The 25,131-nt window shown below is 41.8% G+C and overlaps 2 protein-coding genes across 7 annotated transcripts in view, besides 3 other annotated features; one reads left to right on the top strand and one right to left on the bottom strand.

The window, feature by feature from the left end:
* DLGAP5 (DLG associated protein 5) overlaps nucleotides 1-4,601 on the top strand; it is a 43,451-nt gene extending 38,850 nt beyond the window's left edge. For 2 of the 4 annotated variants that reach the window (NM_001146015.2, XM_047432016.1), the window contains exons 16-20: nucleotides 89-146; nucleotides 795-1,041; nucleotides 1,888-1,937; nucleotides 4,052-4,142; nucleotides 4,263-4,601. In NM_001146015.2, the coding sequence (NP_001139487.1) occupies nucleotides 89-146; nucleotides 795-1,041; nucleotides 1,888-1,937; nucleotides 4,052-4,142; nucleotides 4,263-4,282 (466 nt within the window). In that variant the 3' untranslated portion in view covers nucleotides 4,283-4,601. The remainder of the gene's footprint in view (nucleotides 1-88; nucleotides 147-794; nucleotides 1,042-1,887; nucleotides 1,938-4,051; nucleotides 4,143-4,262) is intronic. The other 2 variants (NM_014750.5, XM_017021840.3) reach the window with 1 other exon arrangement.
* LGALS3 (galectin 3) lies at nucleotides 7,306-23,484 on the bottom strand. Of its 3 annotated transcripts, NM_001357678.2 has the most exons (7): nucleotides 23,436-23,484; nucleotides 19,344-19,384; nucleotides 15,345-15,366; nucleotides 14,368-14,691; nucleotides 12,373-12,461; nucleotides 9,987-10,152; nucleotides 7,313-7,620 (listed from the first exon to the last, which is right to left on the bottom strand). In NM_001357678.2, exons 2-7 carry the CDS (start codon nucleotides 19,379-19,381, stop codon nucleotides 7,465-7,467), a joined length of 795 nt encoding a protein of 264 aa, NP_001344607.1. In that variant the 5' UTR covers nucleotides 19,382-19,384; nucleotides 23,436-23,484; the 3' UTR covers nucleotides 7,313-7,464. The 3 variants fall into 3 exon arrangements, 2 of the variants coding, with proteins under 2 accessions (NP_001344607.1, NP_002297.2); NM_002306.4 differs by lacking the exon at nucleotides 19,344-19,384; NR_003225.2 differs by lacking the exons at nucleotides 19,344-19,384; nucleotides 23,436-23,484 and having other exon boundaries at nucleotides 7,306-7,620; nucleotides 14,368-15,753.
* Nucleotides 19,091-19,385: a silencer, noted in NCBI's record as "tiled region #5571; K562 Repressive DNase matched - State 12:CtcfO". NCBI's record gives its function as "represses a minimal TATA promoter and a strong SV40 promoter by Sharpr-MPRA in K562 cells {active_cell/tissue: K562}" and the evidence as "EXISTENCE:reporter gene assay evidence [ECO:0000049][PMID:27701403]".
* Nucleotides 22,649-22,838: an enhancer, noted in NCBI's record as "active region_8427". NCBI's record gives its function as "activates an Ori minimal core promoter by ATAC-STARR-seq in GM12878 lymphoblastoid cells {active_cell/tissue: GM12878}" and the evidence as "EXISTENCE:reporter gene assay evidence [ECO:0000049][PMID:35858748]".
* Nucleotides 23,189-23,788: a silencer, noted in NCBI's record as "silent region_5780". NCBI's record gives its function as "represses an Ori minimal core promoter by ATAC-STARR-seq in GM12878 lymphoblastoid cells {active_cell/tissue: GM12878}" and the evidence as "EXISTENCE:reporter gene assay evidence [ECO:0000049][PMID:35858748]".

The following is a 25,131-nucleotide window of genomic DNA, read 5'->3' as shown; positions in this document are numbered from 1 at the left end:
ATTGCCATCATTAAAGGAAAGACTCAAAATACAAGTGAAACAATAACAATATGTTTATGAGTGTAATGCTGCTTTTTTTCTTCTTTAGGAGCAGCATAGAAGATGCTCAGTGTCCTGGATTACCAGATTTAATTGAAGAAAATCATGTAAGTACAATTCCAGTGTGGTTAGATAGCCCAGTATGTCATATGTTTATATCATTATAGAAAGTAACTTTGTAAAGCATCCCCAGAATTTCCGTTGGAAATCTAAATCAGTCATGTAGAATTGTAGTTCTTGTTTCAATGACATTTGGGTTGTTTAAAACCATAGTGTCATTTTGTATTCTTCAACTCATATCAGAATGAATATGGAACCAGTGAACTAGAGCAGAAATCAGCAAACTTTGGCCCCTATTTTTACAAATCATATTTTATTGTAATAGCCACACATTTGTTTATGTATTCTATCTGGCTGCTTTTGCAATACAGTGGTAGAGTTGAGTACTTATGACAGAGACCCTGTGACTCACAAACCTAAAATATTTACTATTTGATCTTTTACAGAAAATGTTTGCCAGTCCCTGAGCTAGAGTATAGGTACTTGCTGAGAAACTTGCCTTCAATCATACTATTTCTATAATATTATCTGAACTAATTGTTGAAGAAGCAGGATAGTAGGATTTATAATGTTCTTAAGACTGTGTCCGGGATGTCATCCTTCTGTTTTTCTTGTATTTAATAGCAACAAGACTTTTAAAATTTGTTCCAAGTAATTAAATTGATAATTAAATATAATGCCATTTTTACTTCCAGGTTGTAAATAAGACAGACTTGAAGGTGGATTGTTTATCCAGTGAGAGAATGAGTTTGCCTCTTCTTGCTGGTGGAGTAGCAGATGATATTAATACTAACAAAAAAGAAGGAATTTCAGATGTTGTGGAAGGAATGGAACTGAATTCTTCAATTACATCACAGGATGTTTTGATGAGTAGCCCTGAAAAAAATACAGCTTCACAAAATAGCATCTTAGAAGAAGGGGAAACTAAAATTTCTCAGTCAGGTGAGATATTTAAAATATATTTAAACGAGCCTTTATTAAAGAAATGAACTTGGATTAAGGTATAAATTATCCTATAAGGTCCATTTTACATTAGATCTAACTATTGAGGATCCTTCATTGTTAGTGAAGACCCTGAATTAGAACAATTCCCTCAAGATTTTTTTTTTTTTTGAGATGGAGTCTCACTCTGTTGCCCAGGCTGGAGTGTAGTCGTGTGATCTCAGCTCACTGCAACCTCCACCTCCCAGGTTGAGGCGATTCTCCTACACATGTACCACCGCGCCTAGCTAATTTTTTTATTTTTAGTAGAGACAGAGTTTCACCACATTGGCCAGCCTGGGCTTTTTTTTTAGTTGTCCTTTTCAACACATATCCCCAAGTCTTTCTTCAAAATATCCTATTTTTCTTCCCTACTGCCTAGTTCTACCTATATTGTTGTGATGGTTCTGCAATAGGAAATGGCTCCTATATTTTTGTTATAATGTGTGCCAGTTTTACCTGCCATTTTCATCAGTTAGTCTGTAGCTGGTCTAACTGGGGCCTATGGTAAAACAAAAGGTTTTAACCTCGGCCAGACATTTAATGTCCTCCAGCTGTTCTTCATCAGCATTTTCTGGGTACCTTTAATGTTACAAGCATGAGATTTGTTTACAGAAGTCTGCTTTTATACCAAAGTTAAGGATAAGAATTTAACTACTTTCAAAAAACATTATAGCATAGGGGTCTATATTTTTGTCTTAGCATTTGATATGTGGAACTTTTCATATTTTTCATGGCTTTGTCCATTTCTAACAGCCCTCGAATGTGAGAATATTCTTTAAAAAGTTTTTTTTTGTTGTTTTTCAGAACTATTTGATAATAAAAGTCTCACTACTGAATGCCACCTTCTTGATTCAGTAAGTTTTCCAACTTGACAAGTCCCTTTATATTCTAGATTTGTTTTATAAAATGAATATTGCTTTTCTATTTGTGTACAAGGCTTAAAATGTATATCTTGTCATTGTTTTGCTTACTCACTCTTCATTTTTCACAGAATGAAGAAAAATTTGGTGTTTATATACTTTAAAATATAGTATGTTTTAATATTAACCCTGAAGATATGTTTTTCTATATGGTTTTTCTATCAAATTTGCTCTGACAAACTGGGTACTTGAATATCTGAATATATTTCTAAGTGATTCAAGAAAAATATAAGGCAAAGTTTCTGCCCTTCTGGGGAAATAATATCTATCCCACCTTCAGTCATCATTGGTTATTTATGTCCTGCTATTTTAGTGGCTACTTCCCTGCTTTTACTTCTGGTGACCTCTTGCCTCTAAATCTAGTTCAAACAGCCCTTTTGTGAAGCCTTCTGTAAAAGCTCTTATCTCTCTCATGTTAATTTATATATAGGTACAGATGCACATAGGCATACAGTGTTTACATTTCATCTCTTATTCAGGGTATAATATGAACGCATTCCAAAAATATAACTTAAGGAATAAAATTCCTTATTAACTGTAAATTCCACATTAGGTAGAGCTGTCTGATTCATACCTTTGATACTGGCACTATGGCACGAATTAAATAGTGCTCTCTTTCCTGCTGTTTATATATATAGCATTGGTTTCAGCCCCATCCCAGACTTTTTTTTTTTTTTTTTGAGACAGAGTTTCACTCTTGCACCCAGGCTGGGGTACAATGGTGTGATCTTGGCCCACTGTAACCTCTGCCTCCTGGGTTCAAGCGATTCTCCTGCCTCAGCCTCCTGAGTAGCTGGGATTACAGGTGCTTGCCACCACACCTGGCTAATTTTTGTATTTTTTAGTAGAGATGCGGGGTTTCACCATGTTGGCCAGGCTGGTCTCGAACTTCTGACCTCAGGTGATGCCCCCCCCCCGCCCCGATTCTCAAAGTGCTGGGATTACAGGCGTGAGCCACCGTGCCTGGCCGATATTTTTATTTCAATGATCTGGAGTTAGGGATTTGTCATTTTTTTCTTCATCAAGTGATTCTTATGGTTTACACCTGTGGTTACAGCCTTACCTTGGAATTTTCCAGGACTAATTACTAGAATAGATCAGAAAACGGTCTTGGTTTTATTCTTCTTTAATCTCAGAATATGAGAAATTCATTCATAAAGCAAGTATAGGATCAAACAACCACAGTTTTAGTTAACTTCATGAAACCTGGCAAATACTTAGCTTCCATAAGCCACAAATTCCTTAAAGACCCTTGTATATCTTGTCTTTCATTATTTTTCAAAGCTGCCTTTTTTGTGGTCAGGCTCTGGGCTGCCCTGTGTCTCAGGAGCAGAATGAAATGTGTTACTGTGACCCACGTACCATTCTTTCTTGGTTTTAGCCTTCTTTAATCATAAACTGAGACCTAGAGGATCAGGGCTTTCAGCATAAAGCCAACTTATGTAAACCTGATTTAACCCTGTTCCCAGATCGAACCCTGAATGATTGATTCTGAGAATGTATGTTGTTATAAGTAAATCCAGAGATTACCAAATCGTAATATTTTAATAGTAATGTGATTAAGAGTACATCACAATTATCTTATATGTTCTCATTGTTAAGTCTTAATACCTTATCATTTAGTCTGATATTTTTTTCACTTCTGTAAATATTAGTATTTAGATGTCTATTTTAGACCCAAATTATTGGTTGCCCCAGTAGCATAATTTGAACTTGAAGCAGGGCTTGAGGGAGTAAAAAGATCCCAGCAGGATCACACAGTATTAAAAGGTCTATTAAGTGCTATTATATGGTTTAGGATTTATGGAATCTATGTAAGTGGCTTAAGATACAGCCTCAGTTTTATTCATTCTGCATACACTGCTTGAGTCCATTTACATATTATTCACATTTTTGTACATATATTCTGAATATACCTTTCCAATAAAAAAAACTGTAATATACATTTGAAATAAGATCTACTGGAAAGTAGCATAATCATTGTTGTTTATAATTTTATTGTTATATAGGGAAAATGTTTACGTGTTTCTTGTTTGTTTGTTTTTGAGGTGGGATCTTGCTATGTTGCTCGGGCTGGTCTTGAAGTCCTGGGTTCAAGTGATCCTACCACCTCAGCCTCCCGAGTAGCTGGGACTACAGGTGTGCACCACCGCACCCGGTTTATTTTTGTTATTAATTAATCCACTATAGAATGTTGAAGAATTAATTGGTGAAACTCTTGATGGATACTTTACTGACTTCTCTGGATTTGTTCTCCAGCCAGGTCTAAACTGCAGTAATCCATTTACTCAGCTGGAGAGGAGACATCAAGAACATGCCAGACACATTTCTTTTGGTGGTAACCTGATTACTTTTTCACCTCTACAACCAGGAGAATTTTGAATTTAAAAATAAATCCAAACATTTTCCTTCATATTATCAATGCTTATATATTCCTTAGACTATTGAAATTTTGGAGAAAATGTATTTGTGTTCACTTCTATAGCATATAATGTTTTAATATTCTGTGTTCATCAAAGTGTATTTTAGATATACTCTTTCTCAAGGGAAGTGGGGATATTTTGTACATTTTCAACACAGAATAAAAAATGTACTGTGCCTTGCCTCTCTTGTTTAAAAGGAATAAGCTTAAGGCTAAGTATACTTATTAGCACTTTAAACATTCTTTAGTTTAATTGAAATATTAACCTGTGACAGAAATATTTGCATCTTTTTACACTTTATTCTTAGTTTGAACTCCTAAATTTGTTGACGTTGAACAGCTTTGGGTATTACATATTCCAGAGTATTCTGAATTTCTTTAGATGAGCTTTTCGGATTCCGAAGTCAGTTTGACATGCTGCGGTTTCAAACAGTTCAATCATTAGAGATGCGCATTAAATCCTTACCTTTTTGTTTTTATTTTCCCATTGGCATGGCCAAGAGCCATTAAGGAAATGCTTTTTTCTTTTGAAAAAAATCATATCAATCATATATCAGTCACATGAGCATTTAAAAGATTGGTGCAAAGAAACCCAAGATTTACAGTTTATACAAAGCAATATGCAACACAACAATATTTTGCTCTCAAAAATAAAGCAGATCATAATAAGACAATGTCAGTAAATGTCTTTAATAAGATGTATCACTGAATTGTTTCGAAAACTTACAGCTGTTCATGGCCCTGGGCCATTAGAAAACCCTAGTTTATGTATATTTCTTTTTCCTACATGGCTTATTTGAATTACCCAAACAAGCAATGAACTCAAACTGGCTTAACAATAAGGAAATTTATTATTTCACAAGTTATCAAAGTGATTTCAGGTACTATATAATCAATAGCTCAGTGATGACATCAAGGTCCAACTTTCTATTCCTAGTTCATTCTGTTATCCTTGATGTCGGCTTCTCCTCTATGGCTGGGTCTTTTTGGGGTCATAAGATGGCTGCTAGTGGCAGTTAGAGTTATGTCCTTCCCTTTGGCCTGATTAGACCAACTAATGCCACATCCCCATCTGCAGATCAGTGAGCCAGCAGGGGACTGACTTAATCAGAATTCCCTGTTGAATCTGGGATCACACCTGAATAAAACCATGGCTCTTAGGAAATGGAATGGATATTGGGTAGGCAACCATCAGTGTCCCTTACTAGATAATGTGCTTGGCTATTGGAGTCTAGAATTATGAGGTATTAGGAAAATTTTTAGAGACAAAATGAAAGAAAACTGCTTTGGACAGAGCAAGAGTTCTTAATGCGGTGTATTGTCAGAGAAAAAAGTTGTACAAAAATAGAATGGGAATTTCTATTTATTGAGGACTTACTTTTTGACAGTCCCTTTGCAAACAATATTTTACTTAATGTTACAGTAACTCTATAAGAGCTGTGTGCATTTTATAGACACAGGAACCAAGGCTCAGAGGATTTAAGTAATTTTGTATAAACCAAGTTCTCTCTTTTCTCCAAAGCTATGTTCTTCCATTTGTTTAATAAGAATAGAATAGTCAAGACCAGAATGTTAGGGTAAGAAATTTTTTGAAATATGCTATGATATGCTGCCCACATCCCTGTTTAGCGATAGAGGACTTATTCCTTGAGCTACAGGAAGTGCTGCTGGCAGGCAGCCCTCAGTTGACATCCCTTGTGAGGATTATGTTGCCTCAGCTGAAGAGAGCCACTTCATCTCAGGTCACATTCTCTTTCCCAGGTGTCCTATAGTCAGTGACTGATCAAAGTGGGGGTATAAAAAGGCCTGGCCCCGCTTGAAGCTCTGAAGAAGAATCCCAGCTTCAGAACTCCCCCTAGGGTAGGGTAAGTTATTGCTGCTCAACTTCTCCCTCAACTCAATCATGTCTTTCCCATCCCCACATGTATTGATTGCAAGTACACTCCCTCACAAGCTTCTTGAGATCTAATCTCTCTGCTTCCTGGGAGACCCAACCTGTGACAATTACTGATTTAACAGATTTGAAAAGATAGTATTGTATAAAATAATATTTTGGGCAAGGCGGGTGGATCACGATGTCAGGAGTTCAACACCAGCCTAGCCAAGATGGTGAAACCCTGTCTCTACTAAAAATACAAAAATTAGCCGGGCATGGTGGCAGGTGCCTGTAATCCCAGCTACTCAGGAGGCTGAGGCAGAGAATTGCTTGAACCTGGGAGGTGGAGGTTGCCGTGAGCTGAGGTCGCACCACTGCACTCCATCCTGGGCGACAGAGTCAGATTCTGTCTCAAAAAAGAAAAAAAAATGTTGGTCTTCTATAAGATGAAGTGGTTTTGCCACATCCTAGTTTTGGAATTTTATTAATCTTTGGGCTTGCTGCTAATAAGGGTAGAAAGGCATGGGCAAGAATGTTGACGATGGGAACAATTAAATTTTGAAAGCCGACTATATAAGATACCTTTTTCTCCATAAGAGATTTCATAAAAACCAGGGAGATGGTCCTATATTGGTATCAAATTACTGATTTGAAAGCAGTGAACTATAGAAGGAGAAAATAGGATTAAAAAGCCGTCAAGAAATATACCAGAATCCTAACAATAATTGTCTATGGGTCATAGGTCATCTATAGGTTAACTTTTTCTTAATGCTATTCTGATTTCCTGAACATGTTATATTTCCTTAAGAAAATGAGAGAATAATTTTCTTGAAACAGCTGATTTTTATGAAATTCTGGAAGAGATAATTTTGTGGTAATATTTACTTTCTCCTTAAGAAAAATATTTTAACAAGTATAGGAAACCTTGAGGCCCCAATGCAGTATTAATATTGCTACATATTTTTTCCATTGTGCATTATCTAGAATAAACCACTCCAATTAAATGACATATTGAGACAGGTAATTCACTGTAATATTTATTAAGTAGATGACTTACAAGAGGGATATTGATGAATGTAAAAATTTTCACTCACAGTGAACATGAAACCTTTACACATGTAAGGTTTAGATTCTTTTTTTTTTTTTAATCTGCCCCTTTCAGATTATATCATGGTATATGAAGCACTGGTGAGGTCTATGTCACCAGAAATTCCCAGTTTGCTGATTTCATTGAGTTTTTTAACCCGATGATTGTACTGCAACAAGTGAGCATCATTCACTGCAACCTTGAAGTGGTCAGGTTCAACCAGTACTTGTATCTGAAATGGCATATACATAAACTGTTACATGAGGTAATGCATATGTCAGCTGGATTTAGGCATTCCACAATATATACATATTTCATCTGCACTATAGAAACAATTTTTTGTCAACTGAAATAAAGGGAAAAAATGTCCATTAATTTCAAACCAGTCTGGCCTGAGCCCAGGATGTCCAACATTTCATCCTTATCATTTGTGGGACCAGTTAAGATCCAGAGAAAGTAACTTTACAGCAAAAATGCCAAGTTATGCTGGGCGGGGTGGCTCACGCCTGTAATCCCAGCACTTTGGGAGGCTGAGGCGGGTGGATCACAAGGTCAGGAGATCGAGACCATCCTGGCTAACACAGTGAAACCCCATCTCTACTGAAAATACAAAAAATTAGCTGATTGTGGTGGCGGGCACCTTGTAGTCCCAGCTACTTGGGAGGCTGAGGCAGGAGAATGGCATGAACCCAGGAGGCGGAGCTTGAAGTTAGCCGAGATAGTGCCACTGCACTCCAGCCTGGGCGAAAGAGTGAGACTCCGTCTCAAAAAAACAAAAAGCAACAACAAAAAAATTCCAAGTTATTCAGGTTTTTTTTTTAAAGCAGCAAATTTATTAGAAGGATACATAAGTGAAGCCATAAAGGTGGAGGCTAAAGATTTGCCTGCATAAAAACTTAAAAGAGCCTGGGTGTGGTGGCTCACGCCTGTAATCCCAACACTTTGGGAGGCAAAGGCGGGCGGATCTTGAGCCCAGGAGTTTGAGACCAGCCCAGGCAACATGGTGAAATCCCATCTCTACAAGAAAAATACAAAAATTAGCCACACGTGGGTGGCATACATCTGTGGTCTCCGCTACTAAGGAGGCTCAAGTGGGAGGATCGTTTGAGCCTGGGAGGTTGACAGGCTGCAATGAGCTGTGACCATGCCACTGTACTCCAGCCTGAGTGACAGTGTGAGACCCTGTCTCAAAACAACCAAAAGTTCTGATATGGTCTAAAACACCTAAAAGAAAAACACGAAAATAGGATTCCTCTGGCAAATGTTGTAAGGATTGATGATAATCAGTTTTGGCAAGGGTAGGAGAAATCTACTCTTCCCAATAGTGGATGTTCATTCCTATATCTTTTTGGAAGCAGCAATTTGACAATATCTAAATTGTAAACATGTATATTTAAAGCAAAGATTTCTAGAAGACTTGCTTCTAGGAAGCAAAGATTTCTAGAAGACTTGCTTCTAGGAAGCAAAGATTTCTAGAAGACTTGCTTCTAGGAAGCAAAGATTTGTAAGGATAGTTATTACAGTATTTTAGTAAAATCTTTCCAGGTTGGAGTGTTTCTATTCTGTAAATTTTCATCAGTAGGGTACTGGTTAAATTATCACATATCTAAAAATGAAATACTACTGGCCAGGCATGGTGGCTCATGCCTGTAATCCTCCCAGCACTTTGGGAAGCTGAGGTGGGCGGATCACGAGGTCAAGAGATCAAGACCATCCTGGCCAACATGGTGAAACCCCGTCTCTACAGAAAATACAAAAGTTAGCTGGGCATGGTAGCGCACGCCTATAATCCCAGCTACTTGGGAGGCTGAGGCAGGAGCATCGCTTGAACCCAGGAGGCGGAGGTTGTAGTGAGCCAAGATCGTGCCACTGTACTCCAGCCTGGCGACAGAGCGAGACTCTGTCTCGAAAAAAAAAAAAAGTGCTATTAAGTAACAATATTCTGATACGAAAAGATATCCACCAAATGTAGACTGTGGTCCTTATTTGTCCCTGTTGTTGAAGAGTTTACACTCCAGCTGTTTTATTCACCACTCTATAGTCAACCCTAAATGCTGTGGATCTAATTTGTTGAAGCAGTGCTTACAAATAAAAAGCGTGCTGTATGTCAGAAAATACTGGGAAGATACTCATCGAATTGCAACTTTGTGAGGATGGGGGAAGGAGTAAAAGATAGGAAACTTTGTTAATTTAAAAATTTATAAACTTTTCATAAAACTTTAATTTTAGAATAAAAAACCTTTAGTTTTCATCTCTCTGCCAACTGTGTTTTAAGCAACAAAGTCGCAGTATAACTGTACCATAAAGACTTTTTGCCTTTTTTGTTAAAGATTATATTCTTTTCATTTCTAGAAAGGCTTAAACTCAGAGGGGTGGCAGCAGTGATGATGGAGAGGTGCCTGAAAGGAACTGGGGAGTGTGCCACTCCTGGCCATGTTCTCAGCCTGCTGAGCCTGGTCCCCTGGGCAGGGAGAAGATAAACTGGTTAGGCACCTTAGGAGAGGTGATAAAAACTCTCACTTCAAGTGCTTTGGGGTTTTAGAGTGATTCCTCATGAGAAATATACATTATCAATATATAATAGTAGCAATAACTTACTTTGAATGGTTTCCCACTTTCAAATGGGAAAACCGACTGTCTTTCTTCCCTTCCCCAGTTATTATCCAGCTTTGTATTGCAAACAATGACTCTCCTGTTGTTCTCATTGAAGCGTGGGTTAAAGTGGAAGGCAACATCATTCCCTCTTTGGAAATCTAAAGCAATTCTGTTTTAAACCAAAGACCAGTTATTAAAATGATTAAAGCTGTACATTTGCACTGTGTAAAGAACATGTAATTTTCTAAAAAGCAAATAATTTCATAATACAGTACCTAGGAAATTTTTCTGAATGGAAAGCAAATAAATCAGAATGGGTTCAAACTGGAAAATATCCTATGCCTGATATTCTATGTACTATCACAAAATCTAAAGGTAAGCAAGACAATAGATGTTGAATTTTTTGCCTCATTGTCTTCGATCATATTTCCATTCATCTGTAATGCCCCTACAGACTCATGAAAACCCTTCGAGGTTTTCTTACAGAGGTTTAGAGCCACTCTGAGGACACTTTATCCCTTACTATAGATAATGGTTATCTCTTTCCTGCTCTTCCAGTTTGCTTTCAATACCTGGTAAAGGCAAGCCAGCTATATAGTTAACAGCCATCAAATACCTGGCTTCCTCATAATTAACCAGAAGCCCTAGTTCCTCTAAAACAGCAAGAATGAGATAAGGTAGTTAATATTCAGTATCTTGTTGCTAAGTTGTAAAGTCATGATAGTAAATGTGGTAAACATTCTATGATGTGAGCCAGAACCAATGAAATTGCTAGTTTAGCTTTTTGACCCTGTTCCTTCTCCCTGGAGGTTAATGCAAACACAAGTCCTCTTTGACTAACCCCATCCCTGAGTTTCTCAAAGTGCGCTCTATAGAGCGGTAACACCAGAGTCATCAGTAGGTATTCGTATTTTAATCTGCACTCTAGACCAACTAACAAAGATTGTCTGTGTATTTTGATTCACCCAGTAACAGTCACATTCAACCACAAATGATCTTCCAGTGATTAAATTTGTAAGGAAAAAACAGCATAGAATTTGTATTTGACTAAATATACAATGTTGTCATCTCTGTCACCTTAAGCACTTTTTTTTTCTACACAGTTCGTCATATAGAATTTGCAGGACTAAGCAACAGTTTTTTTTAAGTTTACTACCATTAACCATTTCAACCAGAATTAGTTTTGATCTGCCAGTCTCAATCTACATCTCTAGCATTATTAGAACTAAACTTTCCAGTGAAATGACTCTAACAAGACAAGGATACCAAACTGGGTATTCAGTGTGCGTTAGGGGTTGTGGGAGGAGGAGAGCAGATATTTAATAAATCATGAGTGCTGTGTGCACAGGATAAGGTGTGCTGGGTTCTATGTGATGTTGGGAGGAAATACGGATAAGGACATAGGTAGAGGATGTATATATTTTGTAATTTGCTATGAGACGGGCATTATTGTACGGGGAAGTTCTGTGCTTACAGAAATTGTCTAGGCTGTGTGGAAAGATGGGTTGGCTTAGGATAGTGACTACCATTGCAGAAGCAGAGGAGGCTGGCTGAGGTGGAGGGAATGAGCATTTGAATGTGAAATTATCAGATCAGAAGTGAAGTCCATCTCTTGATTGCAGGATGTGGAGCAAGGTGACAGACACTGAGACTGTTTATGGATTCTTGCATAAACCTGTGTACATGGCTTGAATTTGTGCCATTTAGGTACTGTCCATAAGACCTAGAGACAGTTCCACTAACCTTAGGGGCAGGCATCTCAGATGGTTTCAGGACATGGCCAGCTTCCTTGTATGATATGTAAGTACTACATAACCAGTGGTGACAACCAGGGCCAAGCAGCCCAGGACAGCCATAATTAGCATGTATTTTCCTAAATAAAGCCTCACCCCATCCTAGCCCACCTCATCAATCAAACTACTTCCAATAGTAAAGGTTGATTTATAATGATGAAGTTTTTAACTTGTAGAATCTCTTCAAACCCATAAGCAAATAGTATCTGCTCAAAAGACGGGTTCCCAGGCCTGCCACTGATCATCTGTAGAACCTGAACCTCAGTTTTGTCTATAAAAAGGGGAGAGCAATATTCCTTATCCTGCCTTCAGCCATGAAGATTAGCTGACATAATACATATCAAAGTATAGAATAAGGTGTGTTACCGTTTACTATGAGTGCCATGATGCTTAGCAAAATTATATGGGAATATGTATGGATTTATGGGATAATCCTATATGATGGTATAGCCAAGATTCTAAATATGTAGTTTTTAAAATTTTACTAAAATTCAAAATAGCACTGTAAGACAGGGCAAGAAGAAAAAAAGTAGGCCATTCTTTATTCAAAAACCAATCTACAAATAGAGTAGACTTGTTAATTTTGCTCTCCTTACCTGTTTGCATTGGGCTTCACCGTGCCCAGAATTGTTATCAGCATGCGAGGCACCACTCCCCCAGGCAAAGGCAGGTTATAAGGCACAATCTGGGAATTAACAAGTACATATGTGTCAATAAGGAGTCATGTTTCTTTGGGGAAAAAACGATGTTGCTAAAGTTCCATCACTATTAATATGTGTGAAAAACACATAACTCTAGTATATGCCATCTGTCCAGACTCTCAGGCCACTTTGCCCAGGGGCCAAAGAGATAAGGCTCCCTAGATGTACAAATAATTGAAAAGAAAGCCATCAGTAAATCTCATTACTACGGCCATCCCAATTTGTACTCATTCATGTTGACTATTTTTGGAAAGGCTTAAGCTAGATCTTGTGATCAACATTAACATTTTTGTATCACTCTTAAGGCCCTGTCATGGTACATGCTTTACTGTGGATATTCTGCTTCCTGGGGGCAAGCAGCATATCACATTCTGGGCTTGTGGGTTCTCATATGCTTTGTACTCACATGGCTCCAGCAGAGTGCTTTGCATATGGCAGATACTCAATATTTATGGAATGAACACTGTTAACACTGTGAGGTTCATTCCACAAATGTTTATTGACCAACTACATTCAAGGTACTGTGAATATCCCCAAAGCTCTATTTATTTATGGCCTCTTTTCTTTCCCTTTTTAAGACTTCCCCCTGGGTTTAACTATCACCCAAACCTTTTTATTTTTTGAGACAAGGTCTCAAAAATCCGAGTCTCAGTTGTTGAGGATGGAGTGCAGTGGTGTGATCATAGCTCACTGCAGCCTCAACCTCTTGGACTCAAGTGATCCTCCTGCCTCAGCCTCCCACAGTGGTGGGATTACAGGCATGAGCCACCACACCCAGCCTATCCAAATATTTTCTTTCTAGTCCTGGTGTGTACTAGTCCTGTACTTCCTCCCACCTAGATTTGCTGCTAGTGCCTCAAATTCAACAAGTGTGAACTAGAATGGTCTTCCCTACCCCCTCCCCCATCAGTTCCCCTTCATGAGTTCCCAGTTTGGGCTAAAGCTTTGCTGATGGCTCTAGTTGCTCAGCCTTGAAAAGTCAGAGTCCTCTATGACTCCTAAGACATAATCAGTAGATTCTGGGGGTTCTTCCTCTGTAATCTCTCTTACATCTGCCTGTTCCTTTCCACAGCCTTCATGTCTCCCTCTCTCTGCAACTGACTAACCATCTCTGGTATAGGCCCTCTCAATGCCACCCACTCCCCCAAGTCTTTCTACTCTAAACTGACCTAAAAGGAGACAATGCTACCTTGTGCTGTCTTCTGCATAGTCCTGAAATGGTCTAATCCCATACTGGTACTTAGCTCTTTCCTCATATTTATTATATGTTTTATCATCCAACTAGATTATAAATCTGGAAAGGAAGGATCCTGTGGCTGAGATGTATCTGGATCCCCCATGGAGTTATGTTTTACACTTAGAATTCACTTGCTATGACATATTTTAATTTGCGTGAAAATTCAACCCTTAGATCACAAAATTATCTTTAGAAGGTTTTTCAAAACCAGATTACCCTGGTTCCTCTACATGTTTGCTCAATGACCCTGGACAAATTATATCACTTCTCTATTGCCCCATTTCCCCATGTGTGAAATGGGGTTATTAACAGTATCTTATAGCGTGGTAATGGGGTTAAATGAGATTATCCATGTAGATGCATACTATTGACATGTACTCCGTAAGTGTTAATAATAACCAAAATGTTCTCCATTACTACAATCTTGATTTATATTCATAAGCAGTTTTATCAGTGCCTTCAAAATACTCATTACCTTCTGTTTATACTAACCACACACAATAAGCTCAATATGAACACTTAATTTTTTGACTCTACCAACATACACCCATGGCTGGCCCTTGAGAAGTGGCTCTAAGCAGCAGCTTTAAAGCTCAGGGTCTCCCTGAAGCCCTCTGCATGTCAAGTACATGAAAGAAGGAATGCCATCTCACCAGTGGCCCAGCAGGGGCGCCATAGGGGCCAGTGGCAGGGTAGGCTCCGGTGGCACTTGGCTGTCCAGAAGATGGGTAGGCCCCAGGGCCGCTGGGTGGCCCTGGGTAGACTCCAGGTGCAGGTGCTCCGGGATAAGCTCCAGGTGCTCCAGGGTAGGCGCCTGGAGGTGCCTGTCCAGGATAAGCCCCTGGGGGTGCCTGCCCGGGGTAGGCCCCAGGATAGGAAGCCCCTGGGTAGCCCCCTGCCCCAGCAGGCTGGTTCCCCCATGCGCCAGGCCATCCTTGAGGGTTTGGGTTTCCAGACCCAGATAACGCATCATGGAGCTGGAAAGAAAGACATACACAATTACGGGACAGAAAGCATTCTCAAAAGCAGAATTTTCAGGAAAATAGGAATATGTGATCTAAGAAGGAGAGGAATATGGCAAAGGCATTACATGCATATCATTAAACTTTTTCCACTTATTAATAGTTTGAGTTTCTAAGACTAAAATTAGATGTTGGGATTACATATACTTTTTCACTTTATTCTTGCCTCCCAACGTCTCAGATCAGGGAGGGCTGCATTTTCATAATTAGCTCAAGTCAGGAGTTAGCGCTCCTCTACTTATAGCACATACTTTTTCATCACCGTGAGAAAAACAATCACAAACATCAGAATGCCCAGACTGTACCGCACTTCCCGCTACTCAGAGGATTTCTCAGCTCCTGCCGGCAGAGTCCACTCCCTTCCGCCCTGGGCCTTTTGGTGAAAGGGTTACTGTGAGTGAGTCCCAGGCCTCGCTCTGCCTGGCTTTCTTCCCAAATCTGCTGCTGGAAAAACAAGGCTCCAGCTTGCAAGCCCTCATTGGACAAATGAGTCCAGGGGAAGCCACGCAGTGGGAGAGTGAAAAGGGAAAGTCATGGTAAAAACAAAACCCCCAACCCTCAACCATGTGGAGCTGATCAAGGGGAAGAAACAGGCATAAAACACTTACCGAAAAATTGTCTGCCATTTTCCTGAAAGAAACAAAGATTATCATTTTATCCTAAAAGCTTTCACCAATTTCCATTAAACTGAACCTCACCACTAGTTCATTGTGCAGTTCTAATCCATCTCTAGGCATTATGCCTAAGTCAGTAGTGTGGCGCCACAAAAACATCTCTTCAAGGGGCAGGGATGCTATCCAGCTAGATTGCCAAACCCTATTTAACTCACAAGTTTAAACTTCCGTCACACTAGCCTGTGCTCTGAATCTTACCCATCTGCCCTCTGTCCCCACTAACTGCCCCATCCCCTACTCTGGGTTTTTGAAGATAAGCAGTGATTGATTACTACTGAGACAGGAAAGACAATGACCTCCAGACATAGTTGCTGCCCTGCTATTTATTCCTCTATTTGCACACACTTATGCCTGCTCCTGGCCAGGCACTGCGCAGGCTCCTATCTAGGTGTGAAGATGAATAGGCCATGATCTGCATGGTCAAAGGGGCCACAGGATCTAAAACTCAAAACAATTGAGCCCACAGAGATATAGAATAGAAGGATGGTTACCAGAGGCTGGGAAAGGTAGTGAGGGAGGGTGGGAGGGAGGTGGGGATAGTTAATGGGTGACAAAAATAGTTATAATGAATGAATAAGGCCGGGTATTTGACAGCACAGCAGGGTGACTATAGTCAATAATTTCATTGTACGTTTGAAAATAACTAAAAGTATAACTGGATTGTTTGTAACACAAATAAATGAGAAGAGGGATACCCCATTTTCCATGATGTGATTATTAGGCATTGCATACCTGTGTCAAAACATCTAACGTATGCCATAAATATATATACCTGCTATGTACCCATAAAGATTAAGAATTAAAAAAAAATAAAAGCCGAAGGGCCTACAGTGCAGCAAGGCAGATGAGATGCATCCATGGAAATGTGAAATAACAAGTCACAGATGCTATGAGTCAGAATGTGTGCTGTAGGAATTCAAACCCAGAAAGCTTACTTCTAAGAAGGAAAGGAAAGGTGCTGTTGGAGCTAAGCCTCAAAGGGGAGCTGAAGTTTGTATGTGCTTTTTTTTTTTCAAAGGTACTTGTTATTCCAAATAAAATATTTGGCAGTACAACAAACTAAGGTGAAAAAATTCAGGCAACGTGACGTGAAGGAAAAAAATATTTGGGTCTAAGATGCTACCAAAGAGGGTTTGCCTAAGGGGTGGTCTGGAGACATCAGTCCTGCTTTCTCCTGTTCCTTCCCATGTCAAGGCTCCAAAAGCACAAGATGCTTCACAGCTGTTGTAGGTGCTCCAGCAGTGAGGGGAGGAGGGCAGCTGGGCCCCTGAGGCATGGGTGAGTTCTTCCTAAGCTCAGGATCACCTGTGCCATGGCCTGAATTACCTGGACCTTGAAACAACCAGAATATCCTTCTCTTTGATTTGCCCACCTGTGATATTTACTCAATCACTTTTAGAAATGGCATCGGCCCCAAGGGATCCAATAAATGTCCACTACTTGATTCAAATGCAAGATATTGGCTGGGTGTGGTGGCTCATGCCTGTAATCCCAGCACACTGGGAGGCCAAGGTGGGCAAATCGCTTGAGCCCAAGAGTTCAAGACTAGCCTGGGCAATATGGCAAAACCCTGTCTCTATGAAAAATACAAAAATTAGCCGGGTGTGGTGGCGCATGCCTGTGTTCCCAGCTACTCGAGGGGCTGAGGTGGGAGGATCATTTGAGCCTAGGAGGTCAAGGCTGCAGTGAGCTGTGATGGCACCACTGCACTCCAGCCTGGGTGACAGAGCGACCTCATCTCAAAAAAAAAAAAAAAAAAAAAAAACCATAAAATATTACCTTATTTTTGGTAAAACTCAAACAGGCAGAGCTCCTCCTAGGGCTTAACATATGCTTCATTTATACACACTGGATATTTTATACAGGTTGAGTATCCCTTATTTGAAATAGGACCAGAAGTGTTTCTGATTTACATTTTTTTTTATTTTGGAATATGTCCTTATGCCCAGTTAAGCATCCCTAATCTGAAGAGCCAAAATCCAAAATCTCCAGTGAGCATTTCTGTAGAGCATGGCCTCTGAACATCATGCAGGCATGCAAAACGTTTGGGATTTTGAAGCATTTCAGATTTCTGCATTGGGGATGCTCATCCTTTACTATACTGCTATTATTTATATCATAGTCAGACATTACCTTTGACTAAAATATTTTTGCACATCTTTTTTTTTTTTAGACAGGGTCTTGTTCTGTTGCACAGGCTGGAGTGCAGTGACATGATATCAGGGCTCACTGCAGCCTCCACCTCCCAGGCTCATGTGATCCTCCCACCTCAGCCTCCCAAGGAACTGGGACTACAGCCACACAACACCACACCCAGCTAAGTTATTTTTTTTTTTAGACACGGGGTCTCACTATGTTGCCCAGGCTGGTCTCAAACTCCTGGGTTCAAGTGATCCTCCCACCTCAGCATCCCAAAGTGCTGGGATTACAGGCATGAGCCACCGCATCCAGCCACACATCTCTTTTTGAACATGGTCATTCTGAAACCTATTCAGAAGTGGTTAGGTTATGACCATGCCCATTTTCCAACCTAGGGAACTGCTGGCAGCTTGACAGGGAAGTCACGGTGACTCCAGAGGTTACTGCATCTTTCATTTACGTTACATCCTGTAGTGCTTGGCTTTTTAAAGCAAAAGTTGTGAGCTCCTCTGCATGTGCCTCCTTCCCCAAAAGGCTGCCACACTACCGTATAAGAAACCGTATAAGTTGCTACTGCAGGGGGACCTTGAGAGAAGAGTTGTTACAGAAAAGGAAAATAAATGAAAATTTTTAATTCAGAAAAAGAAAGTCTCCCTCATTTTGGATGCCATACGAAACAATCTTGAACTTCAAGGTGGGCAGAAAGCTTAGTTCCTTTAATTACACATACTTCTTCCACCCTAAGGCAACATATCAAAGACCCAGCAATAACGTTATCAACATTTTGATTTCTTTTAAATGTCCTCATTGCACAGGAGCTTATTGTGAACCTCAGCACCACTGACACTTCAGGTCAGATGCTTTGCTGTGGGGCGCTGTCCTGTGCACTGCAGGATGTTCAGCAGCATTGCTGGCTTCAATACATATGCTGCCAGAACTCCAGCATACCACACTCCAACTTGTGACAACCAAGTGTCTTCAGGCCAGGTGTGGTGGCTCACACCTGTAATCCCAGTCATTTGGGAGGCTGAGGCGGGAATATTGCTTGAGCCCAGGAGTTCAAGACCAGCCTGGGCAATACAGCAAAACCCCAGTCTCTACCAAAAAAAGGAAAACAAAATGTCTTCAGACATTGCCAATATCCCCTGGGAGCAAAATCATGGCTAGTTGAGGACCGCCAATCTAGCTAGTTAGCAGTGTATCCCTACATGAATGTACACACGTGGTTCAATAAAAACCAAAAAGGTAGTTTCAATTGTTAAAACTAGCTGAATTTGCCTTATAAAGGGTCCTAACATAACTCTATTCAAATTAAGATGTGTTTAAAGGCTGATTCCAACCAGAAAGTCAAATAAAGAAGGCATTTCCATAATTTAATATTTATTCTTTTCAAAGCCTCTGCTCAAGCATGTTTAGTTTATTTTCCAATCTAACCAAATCCAGTTTGGGAAACAAAGCAGATCTCGTTGCATTTCCACTGTTTCAACACCACCTCGGAGGGCAGTATAGATTGTGTCTCGACACATTAGACAAGGCCACTAGAACAAAACCTGGCATTTGTGTGGCGCTTTTCAGCTTATGAAGCATGTTCACATACCTTATCTATTTTAGTTATAATGACATTCTTTGTGGTGAAATCTTGTACTGTCCTGCCATCTCACTGTCCAGCCTGGGACATGAATCATCCCTATGTCCAGCCTATCTACACTGTAGATGCTACCCACCCACAAGTCACTTAGTAGCAGGCTTGGTTATCAGATCAAAAAAACAGTATATATAGGGTTTGATACTAACCATGGTTTGAAGCATCCACAGGGGGTCTTGGAATGCATCCCCTGAAAATAAGGGGGAGACTACTGTGTTCTCACCATAAGGAAACTGAGGCTCAGAGAGATAACATGGTGGCCCAAAGTCATCTGTCATTGGCAGATCAAGGAGTAGGGCTCGTGTCTTTTTACTCCTTATTTAGGCTCATTCTACACCAATAGAAAACATCACACTTTGAAATTTTAAAGTACAGTCCTTTGAAAGTGTTAATTACTTCATTGTGAAATTAATTCTCTGACTTACTCATCTGTAACTACATAACATACTGAAATTGTAAACAAATTTTTTAAAAAGGATTGTGTTTTGGTCAGAAAACTAACTGGGTGATTCATTCAAGCACAAAATAATATTGAATATTGAATACAAGAATGCCATTTTGTATAGTCATTTGCTAATTATAATGACATTTTAACCAATAAAGTGTACTTTTCCAAAAATTGGGTATGCCCCGTCAACTTCCAACCATGAGATTTCTTTTTTGAAAAGCATTATAGGCCGAGTGCAGTGGCTCATGCCTGTAATCCCAGCACTTTGGGAGGCGAAGGCAGGAGGATCATGAGGTTAGGGTTTTGAGACCAGCCTGGCCAACACAGTGAAACCCCATCTCTACTAAAAATACAAAGAATTAGCCAGGTGTGGTGGTGGGCGCCTGTAATCCCAGCTACTCAGGAGGCTGAGGCAGGAGAATCGCTTGAACCCGGGAGGCAGAGGTTGCAGTGAGCCAAGATGGCACCACTGCACTCCAGCCTGGGAGACTGCGAGGCTCCATCTCAAGAAAAAGAAAAGAAAAGCATTATAACTGATGCTCTTTTGAAATCAAGATTATTAACCTCAAAACTTTCAGGAAAACAAAAAAGACATCTATTCAGATAAGTATCATCCTTACTTGCCTGAAATTTTTTTCTTTTTTCTTTTCAGATGAGTAGTTTACAGAGAGAGACATACAATCAAATGTCACAAATCTTCCCACTCTACAGACACTATAGATATGTGAACCCCACCCTGGTGTTTCCAGGATCAGAGAATTTTGAACAGTCAGAGGGGAAAAAAAAAAAACTTCAAAAAATAAACTAAAAGTAGAGAAATACTAGCTGGGTCTCCACATTTGTAAACACCTACAGTAAGCAGTTCAGTGTAGCTTCAGAATAAGGAATTTAAACATGAGTTAGAATACAGACCATTTTAATCGGCTGTTAATTGGTAGCTTTTCCCTTTAACAAAGAGTAGCTATCCGCTGCACTATGCTATTCTAGGCCCACCCAGCAATCAGTCCAGTTGTCTGGGTTCCCAGGAACACTTCTGAAATGTCTGCTCATAAAGGTCCCTGACCTGTGCGCAACCGTCACAGAAGAAGACTACTTCCTGAGCCCCTAGGCACTGCCCTACACTGCTCCTCAAGTAACACAAGAGGCAGTCTACTTCCTGTCCTTGCTGAAACACAGAGCAGGACTTGAGGAAAGCCCATTTGCCAAAGACAAATTCAGTGATGCTAAGTTGGAATAAGGGGAACTGGTCCTTTCCTAGGATTTCTTTCTCATCATAGCTCCCTGGCATCAAGGAAGGTAGAGTTACTTTCTGCTTCTCATGACTGATCTTCCCCCCTACGGAAAAGCTGAACAGTTCAAAAGAGAACACATGACACTTGGTCAATAGCGAACTGGAAGTATACAGCAAGCACAGCCTAGACTGGTTCTTAAGTTACCCACTCAGAATTTAATGAGAAGATCCAGTTCAGGCACCAGACACAAGGAGCTACCCTTGAGTGGGAGCCTGTGTCCCAAACGATCACAGGAAAGAAGAGCTATGTTTGAGATCAGTTACCACAAGTATCAAGTACATAAGTTTACAAGCCACTTGGCATTTAAGGTCAACACGAGATTCTGAAGGCATACTACATGAACAAAGGTCTTGGCTGCAGTTAAGGTTTAGAGTCTGGCTAATGAGGGTTCTATGTAAAAAGGTACCTAAATTATACATGAGACCAGCATTAGCCTCTTGACCTCACTAAGTGAAAAGTCTTTGTAAAGCACCTATGCATATTTGTAGTACAGCGAACTATCATAGTTTAAAGACCGCTTAACAGAGCGAGACACCTATTCTACTTGGACACAGCTAGTTTTCGGGGTCAATCCATCAGGCGGTACTCGTCCTCTTCTGCTTCTTACGTAACTTAGTGAGGCATCCTCCTAGCACTTCTAAGTGCTAAATATTCAAGGACCATCATCAAACTTCTCCCCAGAATCTGGACTAAGTGCTGATTTTAAACATCACCTCTAAATATTATGAATTTAGGAAGTTGCTTAAGTCCCCCAAAGATCAAGGATGGGGTATGATCATCTTTAGAATGAGAGACCCTACCCTAAGGATTGAGAGTCAATGTCTAAAAGGGAGACTATTGTTGTAGAAAAGTAAATGATCATTATTCAACTTTACCTTTTATGGAAACACACAATTTCCTAGTATGAAATGTTTATAAACTTGAGGTAGGCCAGGCGCAGTGGCCCACGCCTATAATCCCAGCACTTTAGGAGGCCGAGGCAGGCGGGTCACCTGAGGTCGGGGGTTCGAGACCAGCCTGACCAACATGGAGGGACCCCCCCCCCCCCACCACCACCACCACGAAAAATACAAAATTAGCCGGGCATGGTGGCGCATGCCTGTAATCCCAGCTACTCGGGAGGCTGAGGCAGGAGAATCGCTTGAACCCGGTAGGCAGAGGTTGCGGTGAGCCGAGATAGTGCCGTTGCACTCCAGCCTGGGCAACAAGAGCGAAACTGCGTCTCAAAAAAAAAAAAAACCTTAGGTAAACAAATCAGAACTTTGGAAGCTGACGAAAGCTTTTTCTTCTCAGGCCCTGTGCCCAAGTAGTTAATTGTATCAGTCTCATTTTCTTCAGAATTAACTGAGCCTTCTCCCATTTCTTCCCCAGAATCCTAGAGACAGCCTGAGTCACTGAGGTCCAGGTGTCCTCATTGCGCAGCAACCCAATTCCCAGAGTCACTTTACAAACATTCCGCAGTCTCTGGAACCCGCATGGCGAACTTGAAGGGTAAGGCTGAAACCTAAGTCCCAGCCTCCACCATGCGTCCCCGACTCCCTGGACCTGAACGCCTACTGCTCAGAGGGCAATCGTTTTAGTGTTTCTATTTGAGCACCCGATAATTCAGAATAAACTCTCAAACATGTTGTGAAAGCCCCCCGGTAGGGCTCTGCACGCTAGGACCAACATTTTGCCACACCCACCATTTCCTGGGCACAGACAGTCTGGGCAGGGAGGGGCATTTGATTCGGAAAAGCTTAGAGTTTGCAGTCTTTGCAAAGCCGGGTCATGCCCACTCAGGCCATGGGGCAAGCACCATTTTCTGTGGGATCAGCAACCAGACAGCGGCTGCAGCCCGGCCGCAGCTGGTCCCGGTGGAAGAACTCATTCGCGCTCCACAGCGAGATCTCCTCCAAGTCCAGCCTCAGCTGATGCTCAAAAGGGGCCGGGCCAGCCAAGCTGTGGGTCCCGGGAGGCGCCCTATGCAGTCCTGGGAAGTCCCTTCGCTCCCCCGCGGCCGTGATCTGGGGAAGGGTGACGGGGCTCCAACCCCAATTAGAGAAACTGGAGCGGCCGTCTGGTTTGCTGAGCGAGCCCCTCCGCCTCCCCTCGCAGCGGGACCTGGTGGGACTGGGGTGACCAGACTGCGGCTCGTCACCGGATGGGGCTTACTCTGGGGCCGCAGAGCGCAGGCGGCGGAGGTGCGACGGCGGCGAAGCCCACGAGGCTCCGCAGAAGGTGGCCCGTGCCGCCCCGGGGACGTGTGTGGGTCTCGTAAGGTGCTGCCAACCTTCCCCGAACGCCAGCGCCCTCGATAATCAAAGGCGACTGCCCCGGGCCCAGATCGCTGCCCGCCGCCCCGCTCCTGGAGGGCAGAGCACAGGCTGTGGGGCTCTCCGCGCGCGCCCCGGCCCGGTCCCGGGGAGCCGAACCCTCTCCGGACCGCGCCCCAAGCAGCGCCCGGGCGCCCTCTCCCCTGCCCGGCCGGAGCCGCGTCCCCCGCGCCCCGCGCAGCTCACCGCTCGTTGGCTGGCTCCGGACGGCTGCTGGCGAGGAGGTGCTGCGGGCGCCGGCGGGGCGGTGGCTCCGAGCCTCAAATACTCCCAGCCCCGCCCGGCCCGCCTCTCCCGAGGCGGGGCGGCGCCCCTGCCCAGCCAGTCCTCTCCCCGGACCAGGCTGGGCGAGCCCCGCGCCGGCCAGACACCCCGAGCCGCCGCCGCAGGGGCGACCAGGAAGCTCCCGACGGGGAGAGCGCGGGCACTGAGGGGCGCGACCTCCGCTGCCACCGTTAGGTTCCGTGGCGCTCCCGGGACCTGGGCTGCGGCCGCGTCTGTCCCCCGCCCTCTCCAGAATCACCTGAGTGAAGAATTCGCTGAGAGGAATTCAATTAATAGGTTGCTTTATTTGTAGAATACAAAACCAAAAATCTTTTCAATGTCTATTCCCTAGGGAACTGACTACAAATTGACTACTTATTCTAGATCAATAGGCCTAGTCTCAAAGCAATTCCCTTATAAAGCAATTAATCAGACAACTCTTTAACACATTTTACACAGGAAATTCACATTATATATATATATACCCTCCTTTTAACTTCACCTTATCTTTTTGTTGGAAGAAAGAGATAAGTATTATTATCTCATTTTTACTGTCAGGGTGCTATAGTCTGAATGTTTATATCCCGCCAAAGTTCATATGTTGAAATCCTAACCCTCACGGTGATGTATTAGGAAGTGGAGGCCTTGGGAAGTGATTAGGTCATAGGGGCAGGGTCCTTATGAATGAGATTGGTGCCCTAATAAAAGAGGCCGGAGAGAGACCCCTTGCCACTTCCACCTTGTGAAGACACAGCCAGAAGGCTCCCTCTGTGAACCAGAAAGCAGGCCCTCACCAGACATCAAATCTGCTGGCCTGGATCTTGGATTTCCCGACCTTCAGAACTGTGGGAAATAAATGTATATTGCCTATAAGCTACCCAGTTTATGATATTTTGTTACAGAAGCCCAAACAGACTAAAAGAGAAAATGATTTACTTATCCAAGCTCACTCATGTCTAGGAACAAAATCCAGAAATCCTGGCTCTTACACTTTACCTGGAAAAGCACCAGGCCAAAGAATCCTTGCAGGTTGGAACAAGGATCTCTGAGGAAAAAAAAAAAAATTAAGGGGGGTAGGGGAAGAATCTTTGCAGGGACTGGCTTATGTAAACTATGGAGAAAACCAGGTATCATCTGGTTCCTAAATAATTCCTGTAGCCCTTATAGTAACCAATTAATAACATAAAGATAAATTATTTCCTGCAGTTTTTCAACTTAGGGAAATGTTCCTGTGAAGGACTCACTTGATGGAATTGAGAAGCTGTCTTGGCATTCTCTAGGATAAACTTGAAAGTGTCTTAGTGGTTGGCACGGTTCCTGCAACATCGTCCCCTCTAGGCTTGCACATAGAAGTCACAGTGTGGCTGGGGATTATTTATGCAAGTTTGAACTCTTATCTGAAGAGGTAGCCTGGCAACCAATTTATTTGAATGGATCACCCATAGTAAATGACTAACCTCTGGGTAGTAAAAAGGTATCACCCAAAGGAATGCCCTTGGTCTCCAGGGAAAATGCTATAAATCTTAAGACTTTGAGTCATGAGGCCTCATGGCCAGGAGTGGTACCCTTAGAGGGTTAGCCATTGGTAATAAGAAAAGTAGATAGCCAAATGAATTGC

The sequence above is a fragment of the Homo sapiens genome, chromosome 14 (assembly GCF_000001405.40).
Source record: "Homo sapiens chromosome 14, GRCh38.p14 Primary Assembly".
Taxonomy (NCBI): domain Eukaryota; kingdom Metazoa; phylum Chordata; class Mammalia; order Primates; family Hominidae; genus Homo; species Homo sapiens.
This window is presented reverse-complemented; position numbering and strand designations above follow the sequence as displayed.

Bases quoted from the DNA above. Each gene is read 5' to 3' on its own strand.
- LGALS3 (NM_001357678.2), bottom strand. From the start codon at position 19,381: ATGCATTCCAAGACCCCCTGTGGATGCTTCAAACCATG. The intron at 12,462-14,367 runs GTGAGATGGCAT...GTTAATTCCCAG, and splicing joins GCGCCCCTGCTGGGCCACTG to ATTGTGCCTTATAACCTGCC. The intron at 7,621-9,986 runs GTAAGTTATTGC...ATGCCATTTCAG, and splicing joins AAAGTGGGAAACCATTCAAA to ATACAAGTACTGGTTGAACC.